Source organism: Homo sapiens, chromosome 12, assembly GCF_000001405.40.
Source record: "Homo sapiens chromosome 12, GRCh38.p14 Primary Assembly".
In the NCBI taxonomy this organism is placed as follows: domain Eukaryota; kingdom Metazoa; phylum Chordata; class Mammalia; order Primates; family Hominidae; genus Homo; species Homo sapiens.
Window position 1 is genome coordinate 127,663,471 of NC_000012.12, and position 14,383 is coordinate 127,677,853.

Sequence of the window (14,383 nt, forward strand, 5' to 3'; positions counted from 1 at the left end):
CACATTTCAACCTGTAACACAAGTGCTCAGCACGTTTTCCCAGGTGGCTTGTGTCCTGCCTTTCCACCCCCTTTCCCATCTCCCACTTATTTCCAGCCTCCAGCACCTCTACCATGGATGTTCTGCCTTCCAGTTGGTCTCCTGGCATGTCCTATCAGCTCCTTTAATCTAGTGGCCGTATTGCACCTCATAGGATCTTTCCAAATTGCAGATCTGATCCTCTCCCATCTCCACCTGTCCTTTGGTCTCCCTCAGTCTTGTAACTCCTCCTTGGCTTCCCACTGTCCTTGGGATAAAAACTTCAAATCCTTAGCTATGTGTGCTTCTGCAGGCTCATCTTTCACTGTGTTCTACCACCTGCCTCCAATGGTCCTGCCATTCTCCGAAGGCCTCTGTCATTTCTTTTGCACATGCTCTTCTACCTGGAACACTGCCCTCTTCACCAGCCTCTGCCTGGCATCCTCCAGGCACTGACTGTTTCTCCTAGGGGAGCTGGGAACATGTCTGCTTTTTATCTTCCGTATCTAAAGCTCCTGGCTTAATATGTGGCATAAGGTAGGAGCCCAATAAACATTTGTTGAGTGAGTGAATGAAAGAATTAACGAATGACCCAAACTCTGTACTAGATTCCAGAGATAAAAGGAAGAATTGGATTTGATCACTTTCCATGAAAGACAGATGGGGAGGCAATGGTCATAATGTGTGTGCTGATAAACTTGTGTTCAGAGTATGGTCACTAGTTGTAGTTCTAAGAATGGAGAGGCAATTGCCTGTGGGACAGAGAAAAAAGTGTGGGAAAGATTCCAATGAATGCTTCATTTGAGCTCAGCACAGAAGAAGTAGTCAATGGTAGAGTGGGCCGTGTTTTTATTTGCCTGGCCAACATCCCTAACTAATTGTTCTGGGAATAACATTAAATCAGTTTTCCTGGGGGAGCTTTTTCCCTCAATTCTTTGGTCCATTTGGTTCTGATGGTGCAAACTTATGTGACTGTTTTCAGACTTGGCCCTAATTCGATGAGTATGTGGACACCAGGCTTACACCTGAGCTGTCCAGGACAGACCCTACCCCTTCCTCCTGAAAGCATGTGCCACAGCCCTGGTCTTCAGAGTCCAGCATCCAAGTGGCTTAGTGAGTTGTTCAGGAATGGACACATAGCCTAGTTTTGGTTGAAGAGAATCAGGGCCACAATATCTTGAAGTGGCTATTCTTGAGCTGCTGGTGTCTTTATAAGAATGTTAAGAGGCGATAGACGAAGTGAGCAAAGCCAGGAAAATTGACCATTAGATGTAGATCATCCACTTTTGTGAATTATAAAGTCATCATCTTTAATTTTACATTCAATATTTAACTTTCCCAGTCACACATTGTTTTACTCCATCAACTTTACCCTTTGCCTAATGCCATGACCTTCACTTTATTTTTCTAAGAATTGCCTTTTGTACTCTACTGGAAAAGCTTTATCTTAAGTTTATGGCAAATGCTCCTTTAGATTTAAGAGTAATCCCAGATGACCAAGGGGAATTAATGAAGTCACACACAAGACCGATTGCCACCCACTTGGATGACATAGGCCAAGTGTGAGATGAGCCATCTTCCAGATGCAGATCCCACCAGTGCTATCTGTGCTGTGATGTCACACATTGGGATATTTGCAAGCTTTCTCACGCAGGGATTGGCAAATGAGACGAGCAACCTGCTTGTGTGCATGGAATCTGCACTATTCATGTGGATCTTTAAGAATGTTATAAAGACAATCTCCAGCCCCACTCACTTTTCTGGTTTTTAGAAGCAGCAAGAAATAACACAGAAAATTTGACGGCATTTAGAAAACTGCAGTGGTGTGCTTCTCTCTACACCAAAGCTGCCTAAGCTTTGTAATTCCACAACTCTTTTCTGCAACTCAATTTAGGTAGTTAACTCACTATTGGCTGCATGTTTTTCATGTTTTTTCCCCTAAATTTTCCATGCAATAAATTAATGGCTCCATTTGTACAATTACAACTAGTGACATAAAGTTCTGGATGGGGTCTCTATGTTCTGGACTCTTAATTTCTTGTCCATTGGAAATCTGTTCCTGGAAACAGTCCCGTTCGTTTCCGGAAAATGTTTTCCATTTATAAAAATGCTCTGAATTGCCATCTGATACTGAGTCATGGGTATCTTAGGGAGAAAATCTGTCTGAACACATCTCTCTCTGGTTTCAGGGAGGTAAGGAGACAGGGGCACTGAGGTGAGGGCTGATTAGCATTGAGGTTGGATGGGTCCACTTGATTCCACAACCAGAATCACCGGTTTTTGTCTCTCAGAATGTGGATGGGTCTTGGATTTTTGCTTTATCTCTTTAATCCTACACTCAGAAACTAGGCAGTGTTTCCTTGTCAGCTACTCTGTTACCTCCCACGATGCACCTGACTTCTGATTTTCCAGCCAGGGTCTGAATGCACCAGAGAATCCAGCTGGGTATCTTTACACACCAGAAGAGCCACTGGCCAGAATGGAAGGGGAAGAAAGTCACTTCTGCCTTAACAGCACATTGAAGCAAAATAAAAACAAACACCAGTCTGTAGAATAACATGGCAGCAAAACAAGCCAAAGAGTTGTCAGATAATATTTTAAAAACAACATATGCCCACTTTGGGAGGCTGAGGTGGGTGGATCACGAGGTCAGGAGATCAAGACCATCCTGGCTAACACGGTGAAACCCCATCTCTACTAAAGATACAAAAAATTAGCCAAGCGCAGTGGCGGGCACCTGTAGTCCCAGCTACTCGGGAGGCTGAGGCAGGAGAATGGCGTGAACCTGGGAGGCGGAGCTTGCAGTGAGCCGAGATCACGCCACTGCACTCCAGCCTGGGCGACAGAACGAGACTCTGTCTCAAAAAAAAAAAAAAAAAAAACAACAACAGAAAAAAAAAACAAAAAACCCCACATGCCACTAGGTGCAGAGGGTCACACCTGTAATGCTAGCACTTTGGGAGGCTGAGATAGGAGGATCACATCAGGTCAGGAGTTCAAGACCAGCCTGGGCAACATGGTGAAACTCCATCTCTACAAAAACTAAAAAATAAGAAGAAAATTAGCTGGACATGGTGGTGCATGCTTATAGTCTTGGCTACTCAGGAGGCAGAGGCAGGAGGATCACTTGAGCCCAAGAGTTAGAGGCTGCAATAAACTATGATTATGCCATTGCACTCTAGCCTGGGTGACAGAGCAAGACCGTGTCTCAAAAAAAAAAAAAAAAAGTGTATGCTTTCTTCACTGCTGAAAATGAGTGATTCTTTTATACATCCAAAGGTTTGTTATCTTTAAACATCACAACTTTATTTTAGCTGTCTTGTATGGTATCCTTCCAAAAAGAGTTCTGTATTTGCAATTTTGGTATCTGAAGCAGAGTACAGTGGATACACGTGCACATGTGTGAGTGTGTGTGTATGTTTGTGTGTGTGTGTGCGTGTGAGTGTGTGTGTGTGTCAGTGAGAGACAGAGAGAATGTCATGGAGAGTCTGGGTTATATTTATTTTAATGTTTTTAAGCACAGTGTTGGTCTGTGGAGCCACTTCTCCAAACCTGTTGATCATCTTTTCATACTTCTTACTGAGAAGCTCTTCAAACGCTTTTCATTTTTACATCTTTCCCTGGCTGTTCTTTCTATGCTGAGCCATCTCTTTCCACTAATCTCAGCATGTTCCTTTGGTAGGACCTATGCCATTGCATTTGCTTCTTGTGCATTTCTTGCCTGGGAAGACACAGAACATTATTTAATAAGTTATTTAAGGAAGGATGAGAGCTTGTTTATCATGGTCACCCTATGTCCAGCACACAGCTGTGCTGTGGTACATACCCATTCAATATTTGTTTCATGAATAACTGAAGCTAGTGCAAAGCAGGAGAAAATTATTCCTGGAATCCATCAAGCTTCCCCTTGCCTAGGTTCACGAATATAAATGCATAGACTCAGTGGGTCTACCATGCCTTCTAAGGAGCTCTTAAAAGAACCCTCCTAATTGTCGGCAGTGTAATTTATGAATGCATTCCTGCATGCCATAGATATCTATTTTGTTTGCTGAGGAATCCTCATCCATTTCTTCTGGGAAATTCTCCAGCCTTTTTCTGCTTCTAGGCAGAACTTTGCTGACCAACCTTTGGAAAATCTCTAGTCCAGAGAGTCACTCAGGGTTTGCTGTGTGGCCACGAAGCTGAGAAACACTGCAAGTCTTTTGACCACCCTAACTTCTCACAGATTTTGTTCTGCAGCATATTTTTGGTTCCTTTCCTCTTCCTGAGACTTCATACATGGGCCTCATCTGCAGCTGTGTGCATTCATTTATTTCCCTCTGAATCAATGGAGGCCACTTGCTATTTTGCTGATAATTGACTGACATAGGTGTGGACACCTGAAGTATAGCTGAGAATCACGTGCTGATGTTTTTCCACCTTCTATGCTTCATTTCTTCCAGAAATAAAAGTTTCTCACCATGAGAAGACAGTTGACAGGTTCTTTTGCCTACTCCTTTCAATGTATTAGAAAATTACACTTTCATGGGACTGATTGTCCTGTAGAAAATTCAACCCAGGAATCTACACAGAATACAGTGACAAAACACAATAATAGCGTGCATTGCTCAAAGAAAGCTCTTTTTCAAATATTTGTGTCTAATGAAATGCTAATGATTTTCTCAATTTCATTTTTCGCACTTTCAAAAATCTGAAAGACATCCAAAAGAACCCACAACATTATTTGCCTTTAGAATGTAGTGATAATCTTCATAGCTTTCACTTGAAAAGGAGTTCGATTTCATGTGTTTCTGAACATCTTAGTTCCCCAAAAGAAAGCTACTTCATTTATATCCCATAAGATATTCACTTGAAACATTTGAAACTATTAAGTTGGGGCTGGGTGTGGTGGCTCACGCCTGTAATCCCAGCACTTTGGGAGGCCGAGGCAGACAGATCACTTGAGACCAGGAGTTTAAGACCAGTCTGGCCAACATGGTGAAACTCTGCCTCTACTAAAAATACAAAAATTAGCCAGGTGTGGTGGTGCACACCTGTAATCCCAGCTTCTTGGGAGGCTGAGGATCACTTGAACTCAGGAGGTGGAGGTAACATTGAGCTGGGATTGCACCACTGCACTGCAGCCTGGGCAACAGAGTGAGACTCTGTCAAAAAAAAAAAAAAAAGTTGGTGCAAAAGTAATTGCATTTTTTGCCTTTGAAACTGATGGTAAAAATCACAGTTATTTTTGCACCAACCTAATATAAAACTCTTCCTAGGACTTGGGGTTTTTTTATTTTTGTAAAAAAAAAATTGTTTAAAAAAATCTCCTGATAAATTCTAATTTCCAAAACTGACATTTATTAAATATCTCAAGTATGATTTTACACTGCAGTGTGAATTATGCATAAGCTTCATGTTTGATTCATTTTTCTTTAAGATTAAAGGTGGTAGATGACACTTATGGGAGGGTGTTGTTTAAAATATCTTCTCCTTGCAGCTCTTCAGTGTAGATTGACATCTCTAAGAACTAAGAAAAACATAGAGTAAAAAAGGAATGAATATGCAGAGGCTGTTCACACACTTCACGGGATCATAGACAGGGTAGACCTGCAGCTCTAAGGAGGTGCTGGGGTGAGGGCTCAGGGGAAAAAAAGAGACAAGGCTAGAAATAGTGGGCAACCTCAGGGGATCCTCAGATACTTCAAGGCTGCAGGCTAACCCTGTGAAAGATTAGGAAGGGAAATCATGGTTTTTATTTAGGGTACAGGAAAAAGAAGAGAAATACTGTGATTGTTTGTTGCCCTTGTTTTTATTATGGAATTACTCTTGCTGCTGTGTCTTACCTGATATAATTTTAGTCTGGTATAAAAACAGGTAGTCATGTGTGGGCGTATAGTATCTACTGTGGGCTGGAGAAATATGGAATACAGCAGGGCAGCAGAGAGAGGACATGGGATTTCTGCTTTTATAGCTGTTGTTGTTTTGGGTCCTGATTTAGCCATTTCTAGCTGTGTGACCAATGGCAAGTTATTGGAGATCAGCTTGCACACCTAGAAATGGAATCACAATAACTGCAAACCTCAGGAACCTTACAGGAAAGTCATGGGAATCCTATGAGTTAGTAGATAAAAACAGTAGTAGTTCATAATAGTAATACTAATAGTTAACAAAAATGAGTTAGAGTATTAAAGTGTTATATCAGTGGAAGGGAGTACTGTTACTGAGATTAGATCTGACTTTTCCCAAGGCTCATCTTTGGATCCTATAACTCCTAGAAAATATTAAATAAATATTGAATTAATAAATTTAAATATGTATATGTATGTGTAGAGAGAGAGAGAGATAAATGGATCATCAGACTTTCCTAGTCCTATGGAATACAGAAATGTCCATTGTGTATGTGTGTATACTGCAATAAAATCCCCAGTGTTGCGAGCATAATGGAATACAGTTAGCCAAGTAGTTTCCTTTCTAGAGTACAGTGTAAATTCTTTAATTTTCTTCTTCCCTCAAACCTTCACAATCTATATCCATCTCATCTGCTTCTGAATATACAGAACACTCCCATTAAGCAGTTGGTTGTGTTATGATTTGTAATATTTTAGGTATTTATCATAAAAACCATCTTTTCAAAAATTAGAGTATATAGTTGATAGTGGCAGGAGACAGACAAATTCCTAGACAGACAGGGGCGGATCCCCAGTGAAATCCAACCTTCAAGCCAAAGACAGTTTAAAACTGAAAACTGAGCTTCCAGTTCCAGGTAGAGTCGACGACCGGAGTGAAAACTTTCTCTGTGCCTTTTAGCCTAGTGAATGGTGCCTTTTCCGGGCCACCCATGGACCAATCAGCACACACTCACACATTCTGAGCCCATAAAAACCCCTAACTCAGCCACACATTGGGCTATCTGCTTTTACGCCACCCCTCACACAGAGGGCTACCTGCTCTCAGGGCCCCTTTCTGCTGAGAGCTTTCCTCCTGCTGCTCCATAAAATTCTTCTCCACCTTGCTCACTCTCCAGTGTCTGCATACGTCATTCCTCTTTGACGTGGGATAAGAACTAGGAACCCACTGAATGGTGGGTGCAAAAGGAGATGTAACAGTAACCCTCCCTCCTGCTCACTGAGCAAGAGGGGAGAAAAAGCTGCTGGGCACCACATGCTGCCCTCCCTTGTTTGCCCACTGCTGTGGGTGGTGGCAATGAACTGTAACATGAACGAGCAGTAACACAAATGAGCGGTAACATGCCCCCCAGTTTGTTGCTGTGGGTGGTGGGAAGGGGAGAGAGTCGTAACAGTTCTTGGAGGGGGCTCAGACTTTGGGACTTACCAGGCGAGTTGCTGGCATCTCTGAGTTTTGGGGTGCCACCACTTTCCCCTCCTCCAGACTCCAGCACCAAGGTGGAAGCAGATCTCAGCACACCTGGCCCAGCCACGGGCTGAGCACTGAGCCACAGTGGGTGTGAAATTGAGGCTGGTAACAGGAGCCAAGCACAGCCCACCAGGCCGAGTGGGTAGAGCGAGCCCAGTAGCAAGCTCAAGAGCCAAGCAAAGCCCGGGAGAGGCACACCAGCTGTGGAGATTTCCAGCTGGCAACATGGCACTGAAAGAATCCTGTGTCATAGTCATTTTAAATAGTATTTAGGAATTGAAGTTCTTGAGGGTTTTGATATTAATAAAAATATATTTTTAAGAATATTCAGACAAATCCCAGGCCAAGACTGGGCATGGTGGCTCACGCCTATAATCCCAGCATTTTGGGAGGCCAAGGTAGGCAGATCACTTGGGTCCAGGTGTTCAAGACCAGCCTGGGCAACAGAGCAAGACCCCATCTCTAAAAAAAATTTTTTAATTAGCTGGTCGTAGTGTTACGTGCTTGTAGTCCTAGCTATTGGAGAGGCTGAGGTGGGAGGATTGCTTGAGCCCAGGAGGTCAAGGCTGTAGTGAGCTGTGATCACACCACTAGACTCCAGTCTTGAGGAGTGAGGTCCTGCCTCAAAAAATTAAAAAAAAAAATCCCAGGCCACTAACTGGTACTCAAGAGTTATGTTGATTAAATTGCAACAGACACACTGTGAAATGCATAATATTGGCTGGGATCCTCGGTGGTGGTGCACGGTGCAGGGATTCAATGAGTGGAAATGAGTCGGATCTGTTGTCTGAGGCGTGTGCAGACTGTGCCTTCCCCAGAAGCTGGAACCTCGACAGAGATCCCATTCTGGAAGCCACCTAGGAAAGGACATCCCTGTGCACAGAATGGAATGGAGCGAAGTTCAGCTTCTTTGTCATTGGACCCCTAAAGGAGCCTCTCACTGGGTCCTGGGCCCGCCCACCAAGCATGGAAGAGCATTAGCACTTCAAAGTTGCATTGGTAATACCCATTGTTAGTTCCAGTGTAAGAAATTAAGGTGCTTTGAGAAAAGAGTAAGGGCAAATAAGCCACAAGGAAAACAAAGCAGGAAACTCCATATGATTTTATATTTTTCTATTCTCAGTTCAAAGCAGAGGCCCCTCAGAGATGAACACTAGGTACAGAACAAGACTCCTGTCAACCACACTTAGTTCAAGCTGAAGGAACCCGGCCTCTCTTTGCTAATGTGTTATTGAAAATTGGCATTGCTCATCATTATGGAAACAAAATTCCCAACACCATAATGTTAGTTCAAAGAAGGAAAACAGCAATCATTTCCAACACTGTTGATTTGGAACCCATTGTTTAATTCCTCATGAATTAAAGCAAAAGACAATCAGAAAGGCAATTACCAGTAAGAACTAAAGGTATCGGCTTCATTTATTATAAAATATAATAAATTTAAACTTAATTTAAAAATCCAAATGTGGGTTAAGCTTTTGTTTTTCATTCCTTGAACAATTTAAAGTTTTAATATAAATATCTTCTGCTGCAAACAAGACCCTAGAGTCACAGAAGTTTCAGGCTTAAATCTGCGAGTGTTTCTTTGGCACGTTTAGCTGAGAATATGAGATGGGAAATGTATGTGATTTTATTCAATGGGTTCTGATTATGTAATAAAGGGCAAAGGCCTGGGAAACTTTCACATTTCACTTCCCTGTGTTGGGATTAATTTAATAGTATCCACTTTCCTGCCCAGATAATAAGCTAAATTCCCAACTGCCCACTTGAAAAAAATATGTATATATCTGAGTGCATGTGTGTATTACATATACAATTTAGTCTCTGAATATACAGAACACTCAAATCAAGCAGTTGGTTGTGTTATGATTTGTAACATTTTTGGTATTTAGCATAAAAATCATCTTCTAAAAAAGAGTGTATAGTCATTGTAAATAATGTTTGAGAATTGAAGTTCTTGAGGATTTTGATAAAATATATTTTTAAAAGAAGGAATATGTGTATTCCATATCAATATAAAAAAATTGTATGTATTATACAATATGTATTGTATTTATATATTGTGTAAATACAATGTATTTATGTATTATGTTATATAATATAATTATATAATGTATTATATAATATGTATTATGTTATATAATTATATAATGTATTATATAATATGTATTATATTTATCGTATTTATATTTTGTATTTATATATTATAATTGTATTTATTATATTATATTTATTGTTTTTATATAATTTATATTTATATAGTATATATTGTATTTATATATTATATGTATATTATATACTATAATATGTATTGTAATATATATCATATTATATATAATAAACCCAATATATTTTACATATATCATATTATATATTTGTATATTATATATTATTATATATCATTATATATTATATATCATATATTGTATATATTTAATATAATATAATACAATATATAATATTGTATATAATACAATCAATAGAGTAGTATATGTATTATAATATATTCTATGTATTATATATAGTATATACTCTATTATATAGTAGTATATATAATATACCATAGTAGTATATGTAATAGTATACTATATATAGTATATATTATAATACATATACAACTGTATTGATTGTATTATATACAATATTATATATTGTATTATATTAAGTATATACTATGTAATATATAGTATATATACAATATATGTAATACACACTCATAGTTATATATGTATGTATGTGTATACACACACACACACACACACACAGTTTGCTTCTATTGCAAATTGAACCGGCAGGTTATTTGAAGCTCTTTGTTATCCCCAAGGGTCTCATCCCACCTCTCCTGCACTCCAGTGTAGAGCCACTTGCCTTCTTCCCGATCTAGTTCCAGAATCTAGCTGGGTCCTGTTCCTTCCTTTGCCTTTTATGATGTGTTATCATGATCTGGAACTTGGGGTCCAAGCTATGATAGCTACTTACTGCTCTTTTAACATTTATTATTTATTTGCTCCAACTCATACTGGCCACCAAATTAATTCTCCATGTAGTAGACATCTTTTGGGTTTCTTCCTTGTTATTTCATTGCATAAATAATTAGATATTACGCAAATAGAAAGAATGAGTGTGAAAAGATTGAGACATGCCATTTCTTTGAAAACCAAGTGAAAGGCACGTCTATCGGTGCTGGGTGTATTCTATCCCGATTCCCTGATTCCTTTCCTCACCTTCCCACTGGGGCATGGGCTCTTACTTGGAGTTGAGTTCTGAATCTCCCTCATCTCTGTGTTTTTGTGTCTCCTGAGCAGGGATGAGCACACACGTTTCCAAGTGCTCAATGGGTGCTGTTTAGTTGGAGGGACCTGGATATATCCACTCCCCGGGTGAGCCTCCCGCTTTTGTAATTTTGTGCCAGATTCTCTGTAGCTTCCTGTGAAGCAGACTGATAGAATGCCCTTGCTTCTAGAGAATTTAGGACAAAAATGTGCCTCGGAGAATCGTGGGCTCTGTTTCATTAATATACAGAAGGGGACAAAGGAGGCTGCCTCCAGTATTTCATCATCTGGTTCCATCTACCGATCCAGGGTATGCCTGAAATTATGGACAAAATACTAGGTTTTTGTGAGTAAAATCTTAGTAATCTGAATAGGGTGAAATCCGTAGGAAATTGTCTTCTCTCTCGTTTGAGGACCCGTGAGCGTTTACTGTGGCTTGCTGGTATTTGAACAGACTTTCTCTCCCAGGGAACCCACCTGTGAAGGAGAGGTACCCCCTGCTTCTGAGGGACACAGCCCTACACGGGAGACGCAGACAAGGAGGTGAGCTTTCTTCCAGCTCCAACCCACGTGGTGTCTGTGGAGGTCTTGTTTCTCCCCACTGCCCGTCAAACAGGCTCCGGCCGGGACTGGGTTTTACTCACTCCGCATAAAGTCTTTATTGTGTCCACAGCTTTCTGTTCCTTTGTATTCACATTTTAAAAATCTCATTTCTGGCCGGGCGCGGTGGCTCACGCCTGTAATCCCAGCACTTTGGGAGGCAGAGGCGGGCGGATCACGAGGTCAGGAGATCGAGACCATCCTGGCTAACACGGTGAAACCCCGTCTCTACTGAAAATACAAAAATTTAGCCGGGCGTGGCGGCGGGCGCCTGTAGTCCCAGCTACTCGGGAGGCTGAGGCGGGAGAATGGCGTGAACCCGGGAGGCGGAGCTTGCAGTGAGCCGAGATCGCGGCCCTGCACTCCAGCCTGGGCGACAGGGCGAGACTCCGTCTCAAAAAACATGAAAAAGAAAAATCTCATTTCTAATACCTGGTGCAAAATAGGAAAACAAATCTGGCTGATGAATCTTCAATCATCTTCCACCTCTGCCTTGGCCTCCTGCGGAAGTCCAGACAAGAGAGGGAGGCAGTCTGCTTCCCGCAAACGTCTCCGCCTTGCTGTGTTCCTTCCAGCCTTTCTCATTTGTTACTTTCTGTTTCCACCTTTACAGAGTCGGTCCTGGGAGGAGGGGGGGAATTAGGGCAAAAGGCAGAGTTCTACAGGGCTGGGCAGGTGTAGAATCTGCCCTGGGGCATAGATGCTCAGTTATTGGTGCTTTCTTTCATGGGGTTTGGTGGTCTCCTCAGATCCTCCCAACCAGAGTCCGTCAGCCCAGCTCCCACGGTGTGGACCCTGTTTCTCTGCCCGCTCACTCTTTCCCTAAGCACCCAGGCTCCTCCCAGCCAGCCCCCCACAGACTCTATCTGTTGGATTCTCCTTCTTCCCCAGGAATTTATTCCCTGTAGAATCCTCGGTTGAGTCGTCCTGGGCTGGCCTGCTCTCACGAGGTTCACATTTGGTTCTCAGAACCCAGTGCTGTGGCCTCCACCATGGCACATGTGCAGATCGCCCCCAATGCAGCCACCTCTCCCTCCACCCTCCCGCCAGGGGAGCAGCCTCAAACACTGTTAAGTTTTTCCAAATAAGCGTTCAAGGCCCATCCTTGCTTTTCACGAACTCCACTTCGCACATATCAAAGTCTCTGAGTGGTTGTCTTAAAATCCTTCTCTCTTGACCTGGGGTGAGGATGAGGTCCTCTCCATGCCTCCCTACGAGGCACAGGGAAATAGAAACATCAGTGACAACCTGACATAAGGAAGTCCTCTCCCTTGCCCTCTCCAATCTCAAAGCCTCTCTTGGAATCTATGCGGGTGATGATGAACACTGCAGCTTTCTTCTCTCAGTCTCTTGGCATGTCTGGGAGAGATGGTCTGGTGCAGGGCTTGGCACACTTTTCTGTAAAGGACTAGGTAGCAAATATTGCAGACGTTGCAGGCCAGATGGTCTCTGTCACCATGACTCAACTCTGCCAAAGCAGCTGTGAACACCGTCACAGAGCCACAGCCCAGGACTGGAGGAAGGTGAGCGACGGTTAGGAAAGAACTGGAAAACCCGTCTTCCTTTACTGGACCAAAAAAGTGATAGATGGTGAAATAATGGTTTTATAAATAATGCAATTATTTTGGGTAATCACACAGTATGTACATTCTATACAGTATCATTTTGGCAAATACTGAATAGTATTGGGTTTAATACTATTATTATTGATTATACTATTATTTTGATTATATTGGATCAAAAAATATAAATATTTAAAATGTCTAAGACATTTAAGACAGTTTCTATCACTTATGCTGGCATTTCTCATAGATAGATATAGACATAGACATAGACATAGAGCTAGACATAGGGATCCATGTAGATACAGATCTAGGTATAGATGGATATAAATAGAGGTATGAGGGAGAGACACATACAGCCATATAATGGCTGTGTCTTGTTAAAGACTGCTTGCTTCTGTTCCCTTCAAGTTCATATGTTGAAACCCTAACCCTCATGTTAAGGTGTTCACCAAAATGTAATTGCATGAGACTTATGCCACCATCCAATGGGATGGTACTAGGAGGTGGAATCTTTGGGAGGTGACAGATCTAGATGATGTCCTAAGAACGGAGCCCCGTGATTGGATTTGTGTCCTAACAGTAAGAAGGGAAAAAACTGGAGCTTGCTTTCTCCTGCATGTGAGGATCCAGGAAGCAGGTCCCGGACATAGATCCAGGGAGTAGATCCGGGCCGTCTACAAGCCAAGAAGCCAGCCGCACAGGACGAGGCCCAGGAAACAGTCAGCAGGTCTCTACTCACTGACCCTGAAGCCTCATTGAACTAGAGACCCTGCGTTTCCAGGGTAGGTTAAATTAGACCTCCTGTATCCTTATGGCTGTCAAGGTCAGAAACAATTGCTGGGAACCTGCCACGGACACAGCTCCCAGTGACCCTCACCCTTGACAAAGACCCCAACCCATGTTTGCACTGACTCTTGTGCTATCTGTCAATTGCAAACTCCATTTTAGTTAAAGAGAGGCCTGTCTCTGCCTTGGCAATGTCCTCCACCATTTCCAAATAAATTACTGAGCATAGCAGCCCGTACTTTTGGTAAGCATTTAGCAGGATGCAAGGAGAGATGCTTGAACAATTAGCTATTAAGTTGTAGTGTTGCTTTTATGTGTTTAAAAAGGATAGTCTTTCCTAGGTTTGAATATGCGAAAATATCTGGCAAAAGATGAAAAAGCATTTTAAGACTTTACTGTCGTTTGATTCAGATAATGCCAAGATAAAGCATTTTTCCGTCTCTCAATTACTGAAAAACAGTTGTTTCTCCAAAAGAAATATCCTAGCAGTCCACATTGTTTTCTAAAGAGGGATATTAGCTTTATTTTCAGATGTTTTTCAAAGGAAATGCTTCTAACATTCTCTGAGGATTCAATGAATGTTTTCCTCTGAGCAGATATGACAGCCAAATAGTTTAGCTATTTACGCCTAAATTCAAAGACGTGCAGTGCCCTCTTGTGGACGCTATTGCAATCTCCACCAGCACTGAAGGCATCCCTGGCGTTACTGCAGGCCCAGTGGGTGGCTGGGAGACCTCCTGCAGCTGCTAGGAAGGGTCAGAGCCTGTTACAATCCTTTAACCCCAA